The sequence below is a fragment of the Homo sapiens genome, chromosome 4 (assembly GCF_000001405.40).
Source record: "Homo sapiens chromosome 4, GRCh38.p14 Primary Assembly".
Taxonomy (NCBI): Eukaryota; Metazoa; Chordata; class Mammalia; order Primates; family Hominidae; genus Homo; species Homo sapiens.
Window position 1 is genome coordinate 118,225,033 of NC_000004.12, and position 15,713 is coordinate 118,240,745.

The following is a 15,713-nucleotide window of genomic DNA, read 5'->3' on the forward strand; positions in this document are numbered from 1 at the left end:
ATCTCTAATGACTAAACCATATTAAAGGATCTCTGAGAAGAGTTCAGAACTGACATCTGCCTTCTGAACCACGAGGTACACCAACAGCCAACAGCCACTGAATGTGGACAGCTTTCAAAAGTATTAATTGGGGATTAATATGGGGGAAAGCATTTCATGGGAAAATCACTGAGCTTCTTAAGATAAATACCACATGAATACAGCATATTCAGATGACTCTGGGGGTAACCTAGATTTCAAAGCATAGACTCTTATGTATCATAGAATTGCAGGAACAACTTTGAATTTAAATTGTCCACTCCATGATCTGTGAAAAATAATAATCTTGGCAAATAATTACATATTGCTTATTATATGTCAGACGGGGCACTTGACATGTGTTAACTCATTTAATCCTCACAACTACCTTAAGTGGTAGGTACAGTTATGATTTGCATTTTACAGATGAAGAAACTGAAGCACAGAAAGGCTAAGTCAATTAAGCAAGGTCACACAGCTAGTGTGTTGCAGAGCAGGAATCAGTTGTAGGCCATCTGGTTCCAAAAGCTGTACTTCTTAATCACTGTTCTAAACGCTACTAGAGTTACAGACAGAGCTGATGGTAAAACAATAACAATCATCAGAAGTAGAACTCAGTAACTTTTTACCACAGATTGAAGTTGTTAACTCTGAACTTTATACTCAATGCATTCAGCTTTCAACCGTAAGTTAATTACCTCCTGAGCACACACAGATGACTCCAAGAGACATAACTGCATATTTAGCAGGTTAAAGTTGGTGGTTGTGGACTTATGACTGCATATTACTTTTCCGTTGTTTTAACAAGCATCTTTTCATTTTAACCACCACGAAACATCACCAAATGTTAGCCAATGGAAAGACATGCAATTTTCCTGCTAATTCAACCTTACTTTTAAACTGAAATCATTATTTCAGGTGACAAGTTTTAAACTGTTTTTTTGTTTTTTTTTTCAGAAGAACAGCCAAAAAGAATACTCTCACTTTAGTCTTAACATCTGTTGCTTATTAAAAATAAGCAGAAGTCTTATTTAACTTCACATACCTATGGTATTAATTGACTAGAAATAAAAAAGTGGTACTGTTTGCCCATTCCTGAAATAATATTAAAGGGTACTGTAATTCTTCCTCCTTTTCTACATAATATATACTTTGTTCTTAAAATGAAGGGTGTTCTAAATAGGACTTGTGCAGTGGATGTTGGTGTTAAATATTATAGACCAAAAGCAGAATCCCTAAGGTAGTAATTCACCCTCATTATTCCCTTTTGCTAAAACTTAGGACTTTCTAGCATCATAGTCTATAAAGTTACATTTTTAGATATACATTTATCAACCTTTGACGGCAGCTGAGACGTATCTGCTGTCTCTTTAGATAGTAGTATTTTGGCCAGATCCCTATCCCTTTGAAGCACAGCTGGAAAGCTCAAAGTTACTTAGAATAAAGATCTGACAACTTACATTTCAGTTATGTATTGAATACTGAGTGTATCATCTTTTAGGTTAGCAGGAAGCATAATCTCTGCCCAGTAAGCTAACTATTAAAAAAAATAGAACTGCTAGTAGCCAATTAAACTCTTCATGCTATGAGACTGTTTACCCAAAGTGGAAATACTGCCTCTCTCCAGCCTGCTCTGTAGACTCTCAACCTCAACATGGAAGGGAGTTATTCAGAACTTCCATGATGCCACTTCAGGGCTTTCATTTTTTTAAAAGAGTCTATTTTTTATCCCAGCGTTTCCTGGTATACTTTTAAAGAACACAAGTTGGAAAAGCTGGCACACAATGGACACATTCATGAAAAAAAATACATCTCTATGTTCTTCTCCCATTTAGAATCCTTGCGATGACAAACGCCACAGAGACATTTGGTCTAAAGAAAAAACTTGTGATCGCTTACCAAAATTCTTGGTAATAGGACCCCAGAAAACTGGTGAGAACTTTTTATGTTATGATTAACGAGTGTAAATTTTCTGATGACTAGACAATGAGATCTTGTCACAATAAGTTCGTAAACTTCCCATAACTGCTAATGAATGAATAACATGTTTTTCTCTGACATAATTTTCATTTAGCCCAGTAATATACCTAAATGCTTATCGAAGTGTTTTTTAAGTGAAGGGAATAAAACAGATGTCACACTGTTCAAATATCCAGCAGTCAATTTGGTAGCACATGTTTTTTTTTTTCCCCCCCAAATGTTTTAATTGAAAAGTATTGTAATTAACACTTCTAAAATCAAAGCTGATCACTGACAGGATTGTATCAAAAGTCAAGAGGGACACAGATAAGTACCTATAACTCTTTATAATAAATCCCTTCTAGAAAAATAGTCCCTTAGGCTGCCATTTTCCTAATATTGTTTATTTGTAAACTATTTCTTGCAGAGATGACTATTTTTTAAAAGTCTAAAAGATATTTCACAAGCAGAATTCCTAGACATACACAAAACTTTGTGCTAAGAAAGGTGTTTATTCATACCCAGGAGAAATCTTTTGCACCTTTTCTTAAATTGATGTGCAATTTTTTTCACCATAAACTTCTTTATCACCATAAACTTTTTTTTTTTTTTTTTTTTTTGAGACGGAGTCTCGCTCTGTCACCCAGGCTGGAGTGCAGTGGCATGATCTCAGCTCACTGCAAACTCCGCCTCCCGGGTTCACGCCATTCTCCTGCCTCAGCCTCCCGAGTAGCTGGGGCTACAGGCGCCTGCCACCATGCCCGGCTAATTTTTTTGTATTTTTAGTAGAGACAGGGTTTCACCGTGTTAGCCAGGATGGTCTCGATCTCCTGACCTCGTGATCCGCCCGCCTCGGCCTCCCAAAGTGCTGGGATTACAGGCGTGAGCCACTGTACCCGGTCTATAAACTTCTTGTTTCTAAGAATCAGTATTAAAATGAAGCATCATGGAAGCTTTAAACTACCAGACATTCATGCTATATCCTGCATGATAAATTATTTGGGGCCCTTGGTTACTGGCTTCACAGAAAACAGCCTTTACAATCATATTGCTTGCTAAGGAGAATACATTCCCTCTCCTCATTGATCCAGAAATAACTGAGGAAAATTCTGTGCAATGTACACAGGGAGTTCAGCATGTTCATTTTTTTCCTTAATGTCATTTGCAGATATCAATCTGAAAACAATAATAAACATGACAAATACTTACATTTTTCTTGTCCTTATTTATTTCACTTGTCCTTATCTATCTAAAGTCAAAAGGCAACTAGGAAAACATTTAAACTAAACTCTCTTCAGTGAACTCCCAGTCATCACATAACCTTGTCAAGACTGATAACATCCTGAAGGCTTGGTAGCATTTTGCTTTAGAAAGTCCTGCAGGATTCGCTTCCTCTCGTGTTGTGCTGGATATGCAGACATTTTGATATCATGGTTAGATGGTAGAATTATTACTTGTCCTCTTAAACTGAATTGGGTTTCCAAATGTTTGTTACAATTTGGATATGGCATTTGTCGTTGGAAAAGACCTTTTATAGAAATTGATTCTTTTTTATAGAAATTGATTTTTCCCAGTTTTGTTGAATATAATTTACATGCAATAAAATCCACCCATTTTAAATGTACAATTAGCTGAATTTTGAACATTGCACACAGTTATGTCCACCACCACATTCAAAATACAGAACAGTTGTTAGCCTAAAAAAATTTCTCCTTGTTCCTTTGCAGTCTATCCCCCCCGATCCCCACCACATCCCCAGCCACAAGCAACTACTTTGTACCACTACAGTTTTGCCTTTTCTAGAACTTCACATAAATGGAAGCATGTATTCCGTGTAGTCTTTTGTAACTGACATCTTTCATTTAGCATAATACTTTTGAGATTCATGTTGCTGTATATATCCATATTTTGTGAAATTGATTTTTTAATTAAAGTAGTTTCTCATATCAGTTACATGAGAATTAAATAGCTTCATTTTTAACTGTACTTTTGTCAAAAGTATTTTTCTGGGCCAGGCGTGGTGGCTCATGCCTGTAATCCCAGCACTTTGGGAGACCAAGGCGGGTGGATCACCTGAGGTCAGGAGTTCGACACCACCCTGAACAATATGGTGAAAACCCGTCACTACTAAAAATACAAAAACTAGCCAGGCGTGGTGGCGTGCACCTGTAGTCCCAGGTACTCAGGAGGCTGAGACAGGAGAATTGCTTGAACCTGGGAGGCAGATGTTGCAGTAAGCCAAGATCGCATCACTGCACTCCAGCCTGGACAACAGAGTGGACTCCATCTCAAAAAATAAAAAGTATTTTTCTGGATAATTTTGCAGATTTCTAGTTATCTGGATATTCAAGTATTTTTCAGTGTTGAGGCTGACAAAAATATAAAACCGAAGATTTACAGATGGTTATTTAAATGTGTGTCTATGATTATGTAGTTGAGTTACCACTGACAAAATATATATGCAGGACAGTTTATTCAGACCCAAGAATATGTACAGGTAAAGACAGAATTCAGAAACCACAACTTAACAATTTTTTAACACTTATAAATTCATTATGCCTTTTACTGACTATGCAAAATAATTAGATTACATCCATTTTTTCTGTTTGTCTAATGCTGGTCATGAAAGGCTATTAAAAGTGAACAAATGTATTTAATACAATTCTTAAAAATAAGATTCAGAAAAGAATGTTTTCAGTTGATCTAAGAAAGGAATTAATCTCTCTGCTTTTTTTCTCACATTATAATGGCAATACTTATTTCCAAAAAGATATTTTTAACTTTAAAAATGCCTCATGCATTTTTCTGGATTATATCTCATGTATGTAATTGAGATTCAAATGTATTTAATGTATTTATTTATTGTAATTCTAAGTTATATCTCAATAAAGTTTTTATCTGGAAAAATGCCTTTTAAATATTGAGATATGGCACTCTTTAGGTGATTTCACCTAGGTTACCTCGCTAATCCTCATAAAACACTGATAGCTAAGTATTTTCTTCCCCACTACACAGATGGAAAAACTAAGACTCAAGAGAGGTTAAATAATTTTTGTTCAAATTCACACAGCTGGTAAGTACAAGAATAAAAATCTTGGTCCTAGAATTTACCTGACTTCAAAAAACATGCTTTTTCTACTTTACCGTGGATTTCATGTAATGGAGCTTTTTTCCTCCAATAAATTTTAGATATTGCTTCATAGTTATTCTAAGTCAGTGATTCTCAAGGGTGGTTGCCAGAGCAGCAACATAAGCATCACCAGAAAATTTATTAGAAGTGCAGGCCAGGCACGGTGGCTCACGCCTGTAATCCCAGCACTTTGGGAGGCCGAGGCGGGCAGATCATGAGAGGTCAGGAGATCGAGACCATCCTGGCTAACACGGTGAAATCCCGTCTCCACTAAAAATACAAAAATTTAGCCGGGTGCGGTGGCGGGCGCCTGTAGTCCCAGCTACTCAAGAGGCTGAGGAAGGAGAATGGCGTGAACCCGGCGGGCGGAGCTTGCAGTGAGCCGAGATCACGCCGCTGCACTCTAGCCTGGGCAACAGAGCGAGACTCCGTTTCAAAAAAAAAAAAAAGAAGTGAAATTCTTGGGTTATAACAAAGACTTACCGAATCAGAGATACTGGGATAGGGCTGTGCTATGTTTTAACAAGCCCCCAGATGAATCTGATACATGCTAGTTAGAGGACCACTGTTTTAAGGCAAGCTTGTGAAGCACATTTTTACTTTGTATATCATAGATTACTGTTTTATTCCCTATAATGATCTATGATTACAGACAAACTGTTCATTGTTTGGCTCAGATATAATCTAGGAAGACTACCTCTTTCAATTCATTTTTTAAGACAATATTGCTGTTGACAGAGTTATTTTAACAATTTTTCTATTGTATAGATATGGTAGATTTAAGTAAATATTAAAGAAAGCTTAATTTATAAATACTTAAATAGTATTTATTTACTTAAATATTGCCATATTTGTACCATTTAAGTAAATAAACACTAAAATACTACCTTACTTCCATATTAATACTATTTAAGGGCGGGGCACAGTGGCTCATGCCTGTGATCCCAGCACTTTGGGAGGCTGAGGTGGGCGGATCACCTGAGGTCAGGAGTTCGAGACCAGCCTGGCCAACATGGTGAAACCCCGTCTCTACTAAAAATACAAAAATTAGCTGGGCATGGTGGCAGGTGCCTGTAATCCCAGCTGCTTGTGAGGCTGAGGCATGAGAATCGCTTGAGCCCAGGAGGCAGAGGTTGCAGTGAGCCCAGATCGTGCCACTGCACTCCAGCCTGGGCAACAGAGCAAGACTCCATCTAAAAAAAAATAAATAAATAATAATAATAATACTATTTAAGTAAATACTAGCATATTAATGCTATTTAAGTAAATACTATACTATCATCTTAATACTATTTATACTACTATTATTTAATTAGTACTATTAATAATACCATATTAATACCATTTAAGTAAATAAATAATAAAGAAAGCTTACCTGAAAAATAAGAAAATTCAAAGTTTTGTACAAATGGCAACATGACATAATTACTAAGCATAATTAGAGTAATTTCTCCAAGTGAGAGAAATATTATAAGGCCATGTCTTGTTACTATTGCTAGCTATTGACTTGGAATATAATTATCAAGTCCTGCTCCACAGATTGTATAACAGTGTAAATAATAGTATATTTCTCTCTTAGGAGTAGCCAATATATAGAAATACTTTTATATTATGATCTTTTAAACACAGTCACAGTTACAAGTATTAAATACATGGCTAAATCTTTGACAAACTGAACCCAAACTGCCTTACTTTCTCTTGTACCAATCTGACTAAGCTACACCCTTTATCTCCTCATTTAGTCTTATAAAACCCTAACTGTACAGTTTATGACATTGCTCACTTTTTGAAAAATCACACCCTTGCTCCCCAATAGTCACAAATATATATACGTACCTGTGATACACCATTCTCTTCCCTAGTAAATGCAAATTCTATAAGTTATGTCGCTAAGAAAGGGCACCATTTTTTTTTCCAATTTAGCAATTTAAACAATTTTTGACACTACTAAGTACATTGAAGCTTAAGCAAACTTGTGGAAAGATTAAATTCTGTCTTGAGTTTAATTAGCTTTCATAGGCCTCTGGAAGAACTTAATATGAGAACCCAAGTATTGATTTTGGTAATGTAATATGTTAAATAATAATATATTTCATTTATATAGTGCCTTATTACCGTCAAAATGTCTTCAAGTACATGTTCTTTCATTCTCAGAGAAAATCTATGAAATAAGTAGGCAGGTGATTTTCCATTAAGAAAGCTGAGACAGGTCAGGAGAGGTGACTCACTCCTGTAATCCCAGCACTTTAGGGGGCCAAGGTGGAAGGATTGCATGAGCTCAAGTGTTCAAGACTAGCCTGAGCAACACAGTGAGACCTCATTTCTACTAAAAATTTAAAAAAAATTAAAAATTAGCCCGGCACAGTGGTGCATCTCTGTAGTCACAGCTACTTGGGAGGCTCAGACAGGAGGATCCCACGAGCCTGGTGTCAAGGTTGTAGTGAGCCATGATTGCACCACCACACTCCAGCCTGGGCAATATAGTAAGATGCTGAAAAAAAAAGAAAGAAAGAGAGAGAAAGAAGGAAAGAAAGAAAAGAAAAGGAAAGAAACAAAGAAAGAAAGAAAAGATAAAAAGAAAACTGAGACAAACAGAAGCTAAAAGACAAAGTCACAGACAAATCAGTCATTGAGCTGAGATTGAAAGCCAGTTCTCTCAATCCCTGCAACAGGCCTCTTTTCACACCACACTATCTCCATTTTTTAGAACCTGCTTCTATTAAACTGCCGATTATCTATTCAATTTATTTCCAGCAGTAGTTGTAATAAATCTGTTTGGATCATTCTAATATTTATTCATGACTTTAAAGTGTTGATCATAGGAAATTGTGTTTTCATTTAATTAATTTCTGAACCTCTATTGTCTTTCTAGGTACCACTGCTTTGTATTTGTTCCTGGTTATGCATCCTTCCATCCTTAGTAACTCCCCCAGCCCAAAAACCTTTGAGGAGGTACAGTTCTTTAATAGAAATAACTACCACAGGGGGATTGATTGGTAAGATGGGTTATTAGTATAAATCTAAAAGTATATGTACTGTGCACAGTATAAACTTAGCACTAATATTTAGAAACATCTAAGTTTGTAGTCACAAATAAAATTTAACCTCTGTGCCTTGGAAATTGATTGAATATCATAAAGGGGCTCAGAAATTTTTCAGAACAAACTCTTCTCAGTTTATAAAGAGACTTGTTATACCAAGAGGATCACATGTAATTTCAATTGGCATTAATTTTCTTTGATGGTAATTATAGATATTAAGTCAGAAGAATAGCATAATATTCAGAAATTTAATTCCTTTCTACTCGTAAGGAAAAAAAATTTTCATATATTTTTCTTCTTGTGCACTTTTTATGAAGTGATGCTACAGCCAACATATGTAATTTTCTATTTTCTTTGTCACATAAAAGGAAAAATAAATAAATAAAACTAGAAATGTTTGTATATTACATGAGTAATCAAAGCTATAAAAAAAACTATCAACAATACACAGAATTTAATTCTTGCCTTTGAATCAAAATTAGAAATATATCAACCATCTGAACAAACACTTAAAAACTAAAAATGTCAGAATACACAAAATACAGTAATGTAGTAGAGATAGATGGTACAAACTAACATGTTAACCATAAAATGTCTCTGAAGGTCTTGCTATGAAGGTATAATGCTGAACAGAGGGTGGTATAAAGGAGTGAATTATAATAATTCTGCAGCATAAATATATTTTGCATGTATTTTAGCATAGTCATATATATCTCTTGTCAAACTGCATGATCTCAATTTTATAATTATCAGCCCCCTGAGGAGCTGCTTATGAGAAGTCCGAATGGAAAGGAAAAGAAATGGATTGAGTATAATTTGAGCACCTACTAGGATTTACATATATTCTAATTGTTATATATTTCACTGCCAATTTTTCAGTTCAGGGTTTGATATTGATTAATTGTGTGGTGTTACATAACAGCTGGAAAATCAAGAAACCATCGACAGTGGCCAGGCACAGTGGCTCACATGTGTAATCCCAGCATTTTGGGAGGCTAAAGTGGGTGGATCACATGAAGTCAGGAGTTTGAGACTAGCCTGGGCAACATAGCAAGACCCCATCTCTAACAAAAATACAAGAATTAGCCAGGCATGGTGGTGTACACCTGTGGTCTCAGCTAATTTGGGAGGCTGAGATGGGAGGATAACCTGAGCCCATGGAGGTTGAGGCTGCAATGAGCTGTGATTGCACCACTGCACTCCAGCCTGAGTGACAGAGTGAGACCCTCTCTCAAAAAAAGAAAAGAAAGAAACCATCGACTACTTCAGCTGTATTTGATCACTGACTCAAATATACATGCCAGTATATAATTATAGAATAAAATGATATTAACATCAGGACTAAAAGGACTGAATAAAAACTGCTTTGGAGGTGGACAGGAATGTATTAGTATTACATTCCTGTCAATAATTGGATTCCCTAGGATGTTTTTTCAAAGAACATATTTTTGAAAAATTTATGGTAAAAAATTATTGCAACAGTTATTCTTAATTTTTTACCATAAATTTTACAAAAATATATTTTGGTCATCATGTGGCTAGGTACTCTAATAGGAACAAAAAGTCCAGCTGGGCACACTGGCTCACACCTGTAATCCCAGCACTTTGGGAGGCTGAGGCGGGCAGATCACCTGAGCTCAGGAGTTCCAGACCAGCCTGGCCAACATGGCAAAACCCCGTCTCTACTAAAAATACAAAAATTAGCTGGGCTTGTTGGCAGGTGCCTGTAATTCGAGCTACTCAGGAGGATGAAGCAGGAGAATCACTTGAACCTGGGAGGCAGAGGTTGCAATGAGTCAAGATCGTGCCATTGTACTCCAGCCTGGGTGACAGAAGGAGACTCCATCAAAAAAAAAAGAAAAAAAAAGGAAGGAAGGAAGGAAGGACTGACTCAGGGTTGACCCAAATAACAAATAAATGTGGAGTATTGCAAAAAAAATCCCATTTTTCAGGTAAAAGAAAATGCTGAAGTTTTATGTTTTATAGAAGTAGAAAAACTTAAGGGAGGCAGGCATTTGCTTTTAACCCTGAATTGTTAAAACACTCCAGTTTGTTCACTAATTCTTTGAATAACCTGAATTTACATTCTATAAATGTGAGCCTATTTGTGGAGCTTCAAGGTCTCATACTAAAAATATGAACCTTTTATTTACTTCTCTATTAATCGAACATCTTTCAAATGCCTGTAAGTGCCAGCAACTACACTAGAAAAATGCGGACATATAGGCAAACAAGAGCTGTGCCCTGCCCTCTCCATGAGCCCCTGGGGCCTGGCAAAATCAACACATTATAGGTCCAAGATCCAGACTTGCTTGAGGAGGTTTTCAAAGCCTAAACTGTTCCAGATACAAAAGACTTCTAGGAAGGTATGGCAGGTTTAAGAAGCTAAAATTTCTGCTCTTTTGTGTGATTTTTGAAGCCTTTTTCAGAACAAGCAAGTTTGAGTCAAGCTTGGACCAAATAAGATACCACTAGACACTTGAAATAATCTTAGCACTCCTGGAACCAGTGTGAGCTTCTACATAAGAAGCATCCTGAAAGTTGGCACTCTCCGTAAATAGAATGTACACCAGAACAAATAGCACATCAAACCTTCCAGAAATTTTTGTATATCTCTTTCTCCCTAAAAGGGTGCCAGAATTACATATCACCAACAAGCCAATTCCAGACAACATAAAAGGATTTCTTTACTGCTCTGAATCTCAAGATATCACTGTGTTGCACCAGCTAAGCTTTGCAATATGTTAACAACTGGAATCCTACCAGAAGCTTTATCATGTTTGAGGATATGATCTCAGTCAAAAATCTATGAACATCTCATGTGATCTTTTGGTCAAAAGAAAACAAGACACTGTAAAAAAAAACAGGTCATTGCATGAATATTAATGACTTTTTTATTCAGTAATTATTGAACTACCTTGTCTTGGTAGCCCAGTGTGATAATGGCTTATGAATTGAAGGGGGTGGCAATGGAGGCTGAGAATCCCTAGAAGCTATATTTTTACAGTCACTCTAAAAAATCCCTTTTCCTCTAAAGGATGTTCCTTAGTGCTTCAGATATATTTCTTATCATATGCTGAATTAGTTACATTTGACAACTTTTATTCAGGTGGAACATTAAATAAAATTCTACATTTCAGTGCTTGAACCTATAGATATCCCTGTGTTCATTCTGCTGGTAATTTGAATTCTCTCTACCCATGAGGATATAGAACATGACCTTGGGAAATTTGTTAGAGTTTTATATTTGGAATGTACATAGTTTTTAAACTTCTCTTACAATTATTCTAAAGAGGAACATAAGTGGCTCTATATGAGAAAAATTAAGCAAATAAGCAATATTTATACCAGATATACTCTGCATCTTTCACACTATGTGATTAAACGTAACACCGGCACAATACATTTGTAGAAAAGAAATTATTTCACTTGCAATAAAGTAAAAAATATTTTCTCTAAATCCTTTTAAAATGTCTGAACTGAACATATCGTCTGTTTTAATACGATTTTCTTTTTGAGTACTTGAATTTTTCTCTGTACAGTGTTTCTACATTGAGACACATTTGATATAGTTAGGTCGATCACTGTTGCAGTTTGATCACTCTGTGTCTACATTTTTGTTATTGCTTATATTTTTTCCTGATATTAAGCAAAACATAAAGAAAATGTACTTAGAAAAACATCTTCCAAACACATTATTAGTGTTCTAGATATTTTTCTCTTCCTAACTATGGAGGACAAATGCTGTAAAGAAAAAGCCTTTTATTTAGGAAACACATGAATTTGTGGGACACTTTTAACATCTTTGGTCACCAGAATGAGTATAAACCAGAATCTTATTTTGAGAAAAATATTCCTTTTCTAGGTATATGGATTTCTTCCCAGTCCCATCTAATGTCACTACCGACTTTTTGTTTGAGAAGAGTGCCAATTACTTCCACTCAGAGGAAGCCCCTAAAAGAGCTGCTTCTCTGGTTCCCAAAGCCAAGATTATCACCATTCTCATTGACCCTTCAGACCGAGCATACTCCTGGTACCAGGTAAGGAAAATGCAAATAAAATCCAACAGGGAGAAGTGGAGTATGGACAATGGAGCATTGTTTTTAGCAATACCCACTAGCTCAGGTTTTCACAAAAGAGATTTGCTAGTTGTTTGATATCTACAGAAAAATGGACAAGTTTTTCTTGATTTCTATTGAGAAATTTCCTCCACTAAGTTTTTGTTCTTATTTTATTAACTTAATCAATTAATTTAATAAAATGTATTAATGCAATAAAAGAAACTAAATTAAAATATAACAAAATATTATGTACTTTTTTATATCTATGCCTCTATATATCTGCATTTTAAGGTAATAATTTAAAATCATTATTTTTTCATCTAATACTTGTGTACTCTATAAAGAGTCAGATTGCAACAAGTTCAGACATTGAGGTTTATACAGTCTCCATTGCAACTCTACCATTGTATTTCGAAAGCAGCCATAGACAATATGTAAATGCATAAGCATTCCTGTGTTCCAATAAAACTTTACTGAATAGGCAGTAGGCCATAGATTGCTGACCCTGGCTCTAAAACAGCTTAAATAGCTACTTGTACTAAAGAAACAGCTTAGTGGCAAAACTAATATATATAAGAATCTTTAGGCTGGGCGTGGTGGCTCATGCCTGTAATCCAAGCATTTTGGAAGGTGGGAAGATTGTTTGAGCCCAGTTCAGGTGGGAAGACTGTTTGAGCCCAGGAGTTCAAGACCAGCCTGGGCAACATAGGGAGACTCTGTCTCTACAAATAAAGAAAATTAGCCAGGCATGGTGGCACACATATGTGGTCCCAGCTACTTGGAAGGCTAAAGTGGGAGGATTGCCTGAGCCTGGGAGGTTGGGGCTGCAGTGAGCTGTGATTGCAGCATGTACTGTGCAGAGGGAGACTCTGTCAAAAGAAGAGAGAGAGAGAGAGAGAGAGAGAAAAGAAAGAAAAGAAAGAAAGAAAGAAAGAAAGAAAGAAAGAAAGAAAGAAAGAAAGAAAGAAAGAAAGAAAGAAAGAAAAAGAAAGAAGAAAAAAAGAAAGAAAATTCTACATCCCTGAGAGCCTAACATGTCTAAATGTTTCTTGTATACTCATTGCCATTGTTTTCTGATGTTGGTTAGAACCTTGCACAAAAACGATCACTTTGAAATAATTTAACAAACTCTAGTAATAATATATATGTCAAATACACTTTTAATAAATCATTGCAAATAGGAAACAATCTTTTAAAACTTGTTTCGGTGATAATTTAACCACCAGTTGGAAGGGTTTAATATGAAGCAGTCAAAATTAACATAAGAACATAGTAAAATTAATAGAGTCAATGTCTTTAGTCTCTAGGACCCTTAGTTCTCATTTCTCAGTTTTGTAACTTAAAAAATGCTTTCCTACTGTTCATGTGTTTATCCGTTCATCAAGTAATTTTAATGACTACCATGTGCAAAGTTTTGTTCTAAGTGTGATTTGAAAAATAAATTTGAAGCTATACTTGAAATTGCTTTCAGCCTAATTGGAGAAATATGTATAAACAAGCATATAAATTAGAAAGTAATAAGCGACTGACATACAGACTCCTTCGGAATGACAAAGCCCACCTGACAAAGACCACCTGGGAAAGGCTGTCGCAGAGAAGCCCAAATACCAGAACCATGGGGCACTTTCTTAAATAAGGGAAAGATACGTAAGGGGATACATTTAGGCAAAATTAAAATGAAGAAGTGTTTTCATAGGTGCAAAGCAGAGCTGTGTAAAGGAGTTATCATCAGGTCAGTGCTGAAAAGCAGACTGAGGGTCCTATTTTCTTGGAAACAAAAATGTTAAGACAAACGTGGAATGTTCTATGTACAAAAACCTCTAATCTGAAGTCTGCAAATAGGCTGGATATATGACTGCTTCCCTGTGTTAAAGTGACCCACATAGCTTAGATCCTCCCTACAAGAGTGGGATGTTCCATTCTTATTGATTTGATTTAAAACAGCTAAGTTCTTGACAATCATAATATTAGAGAATAAAGTTGCTCATTACTGAGTCCTTTTGCTACTTAACAAAAGCAGTTTTTGAAGTTCACAAGAGGAAGAACAGATTGTTGGAAAAGGTTTTGTGGCAGGAACATAGTAGGGAAAGGTCATAAAAGCAGATGAAATCTTAGGGATTTTGATAATAATCTGAAAAATAGCGAGTGGAGACATCCTGGAAAGCTAAGATCCATAAAAATCCACCATTCTATACTAATCATTCACGCCAAACCTGAAGCCATCTTTTAAATCAAAACATACAGCAAATTGCAAATTGCCTGATTTGATTTTGCAACTTCTACCTTTTCCACCAAGTATCTGGAGAAAAGAGAAATAAGCCTTAATTGACTCCAAGAAAAAGAAGAAAATTGGAGCTTGGCAACCACTTAGTCCCTGAAAAATAGAGAATTTACAGAAAAAGAAGGCTTTAAGGCTGCAAGCTAACAAAATGTCCTAAATATTACAAATAAATCACAGTGGCAAAATGCAGGCCTTAACAAAGTCTAGTAGAGTTTGTAGTCCAGTGATTTGAATCTCAATTGCAGAAAATTTGCTATTCAACTAGATGAGGTAAACATCCACAAACTCACCACTAAGCCTGAATATTTATTGGCCAATTTAAAGAAAAGGTGATTTCCTCAAACCCATGGGCCTAAGCCTGAGCAATCCTGTTGGATTGCTGCTTTCTGCATTTTCTGCACAATAAATGATTCTGATTCACCGCAAAGGTTACCATTAGATAAAATAATCTTGGCTTTTAGATATCAGGGAATGTATGATAAAAGCTGTGGATTTCAGATAATGTACATGTCAGACTTTCTAGTACTTTCTTCATTTAAAAGAGCTGATAGGCCTTTTCTAATCTAAAACTGCATTACTAGATGGAGCAAAACTATTTGGCAGAGGTAGTAGGGTGCTTCTCTATTATAGATATTCACTGGACACTATAAATGGTTTGCTTATGAGCTGGAAAGAGGGCATTAACACAGCTTTCAAAAGTTTACTTTCACAATAAAATACATACACTAAGGAAACAACTCAGTAATGCTGGTGAAGGAATCCTATCGATAGGAATTCAACTTCTACCAGATAAATTCTCAAAAATTTACTCCCATAAGTATCATAACTTTAAATCCTGATGCTCCAAGCAAACATTTTCTTCCTTTACTAATTTCAAAATAGATAACTCTCCAGCAGTGAGGCACTTCTTTCTTTAGCTTTGAGACTTGTCACAAAGATTGATTTTTAATTATTTATGCCTACGGTTCAGATTAGTTTAATTATCCACCTTTTCATCATAGCATCAGCGATCACATGAAGACCCTGCAGCTCTGAAGTTTAGCTTCTACGAAGTGATCTCAGCAGGGCCCCGTGCACCCTCGGAGCTCAGAGCCTTGCAGAAGAGATGTTTGGTCCCGGGGTGGTATGCCAGCCACATCGAGAGATGGCTTGTTTATTTCCCCCCATTTCAGGTATGGAGTAATAAGGATTTACATCATGTTAGAATCTCATTAAGTTGATGA

The 15,713-nt window shown here is 35.9% G+C and overlaps 1 protein-coding gene across 10 annotated transcripts in view; it reads left to right on the forward strand.

Annotated features, from left to right (window-relative positions):
- Positions 1 to 15,713, forward strand: part of NDST3 (N-deacetylase and N-sulfotransferase 3) — a 225,313-nt gene that overhangs the window by 191,711 nt on the left and 17,889 nt on the right. For 8 of the 10 annotated variants that reach the window (XM_006714416.4, XM_017008840.3, NM_004784.3 and 5 more), the window contains 4 exons: positions 1,854 to 1,950; positions 7,980 to 8,103; positions 12,014 to 12,188; positions 15,492 to 15,662. In XM_006714416.4, the coding sequence (XP_006714479.1) occupies positions 1,854 to 1,950; positions 7,980 to 8,103; positions 12,014 to 12,188; positions 15,492 to 15,662 (567 nt within the window). The remainder of the gene's footprint in view (positions 1 to 1,853; positions 1,951 to 7,979; positions 8,104 to 12,013; positions 12,189 to 15,491; positions 15,663 to 15,713) is intronic. The other 2 variants (NR_146513.2, NR_146514.2) reach the window with 1 other exon arrangement.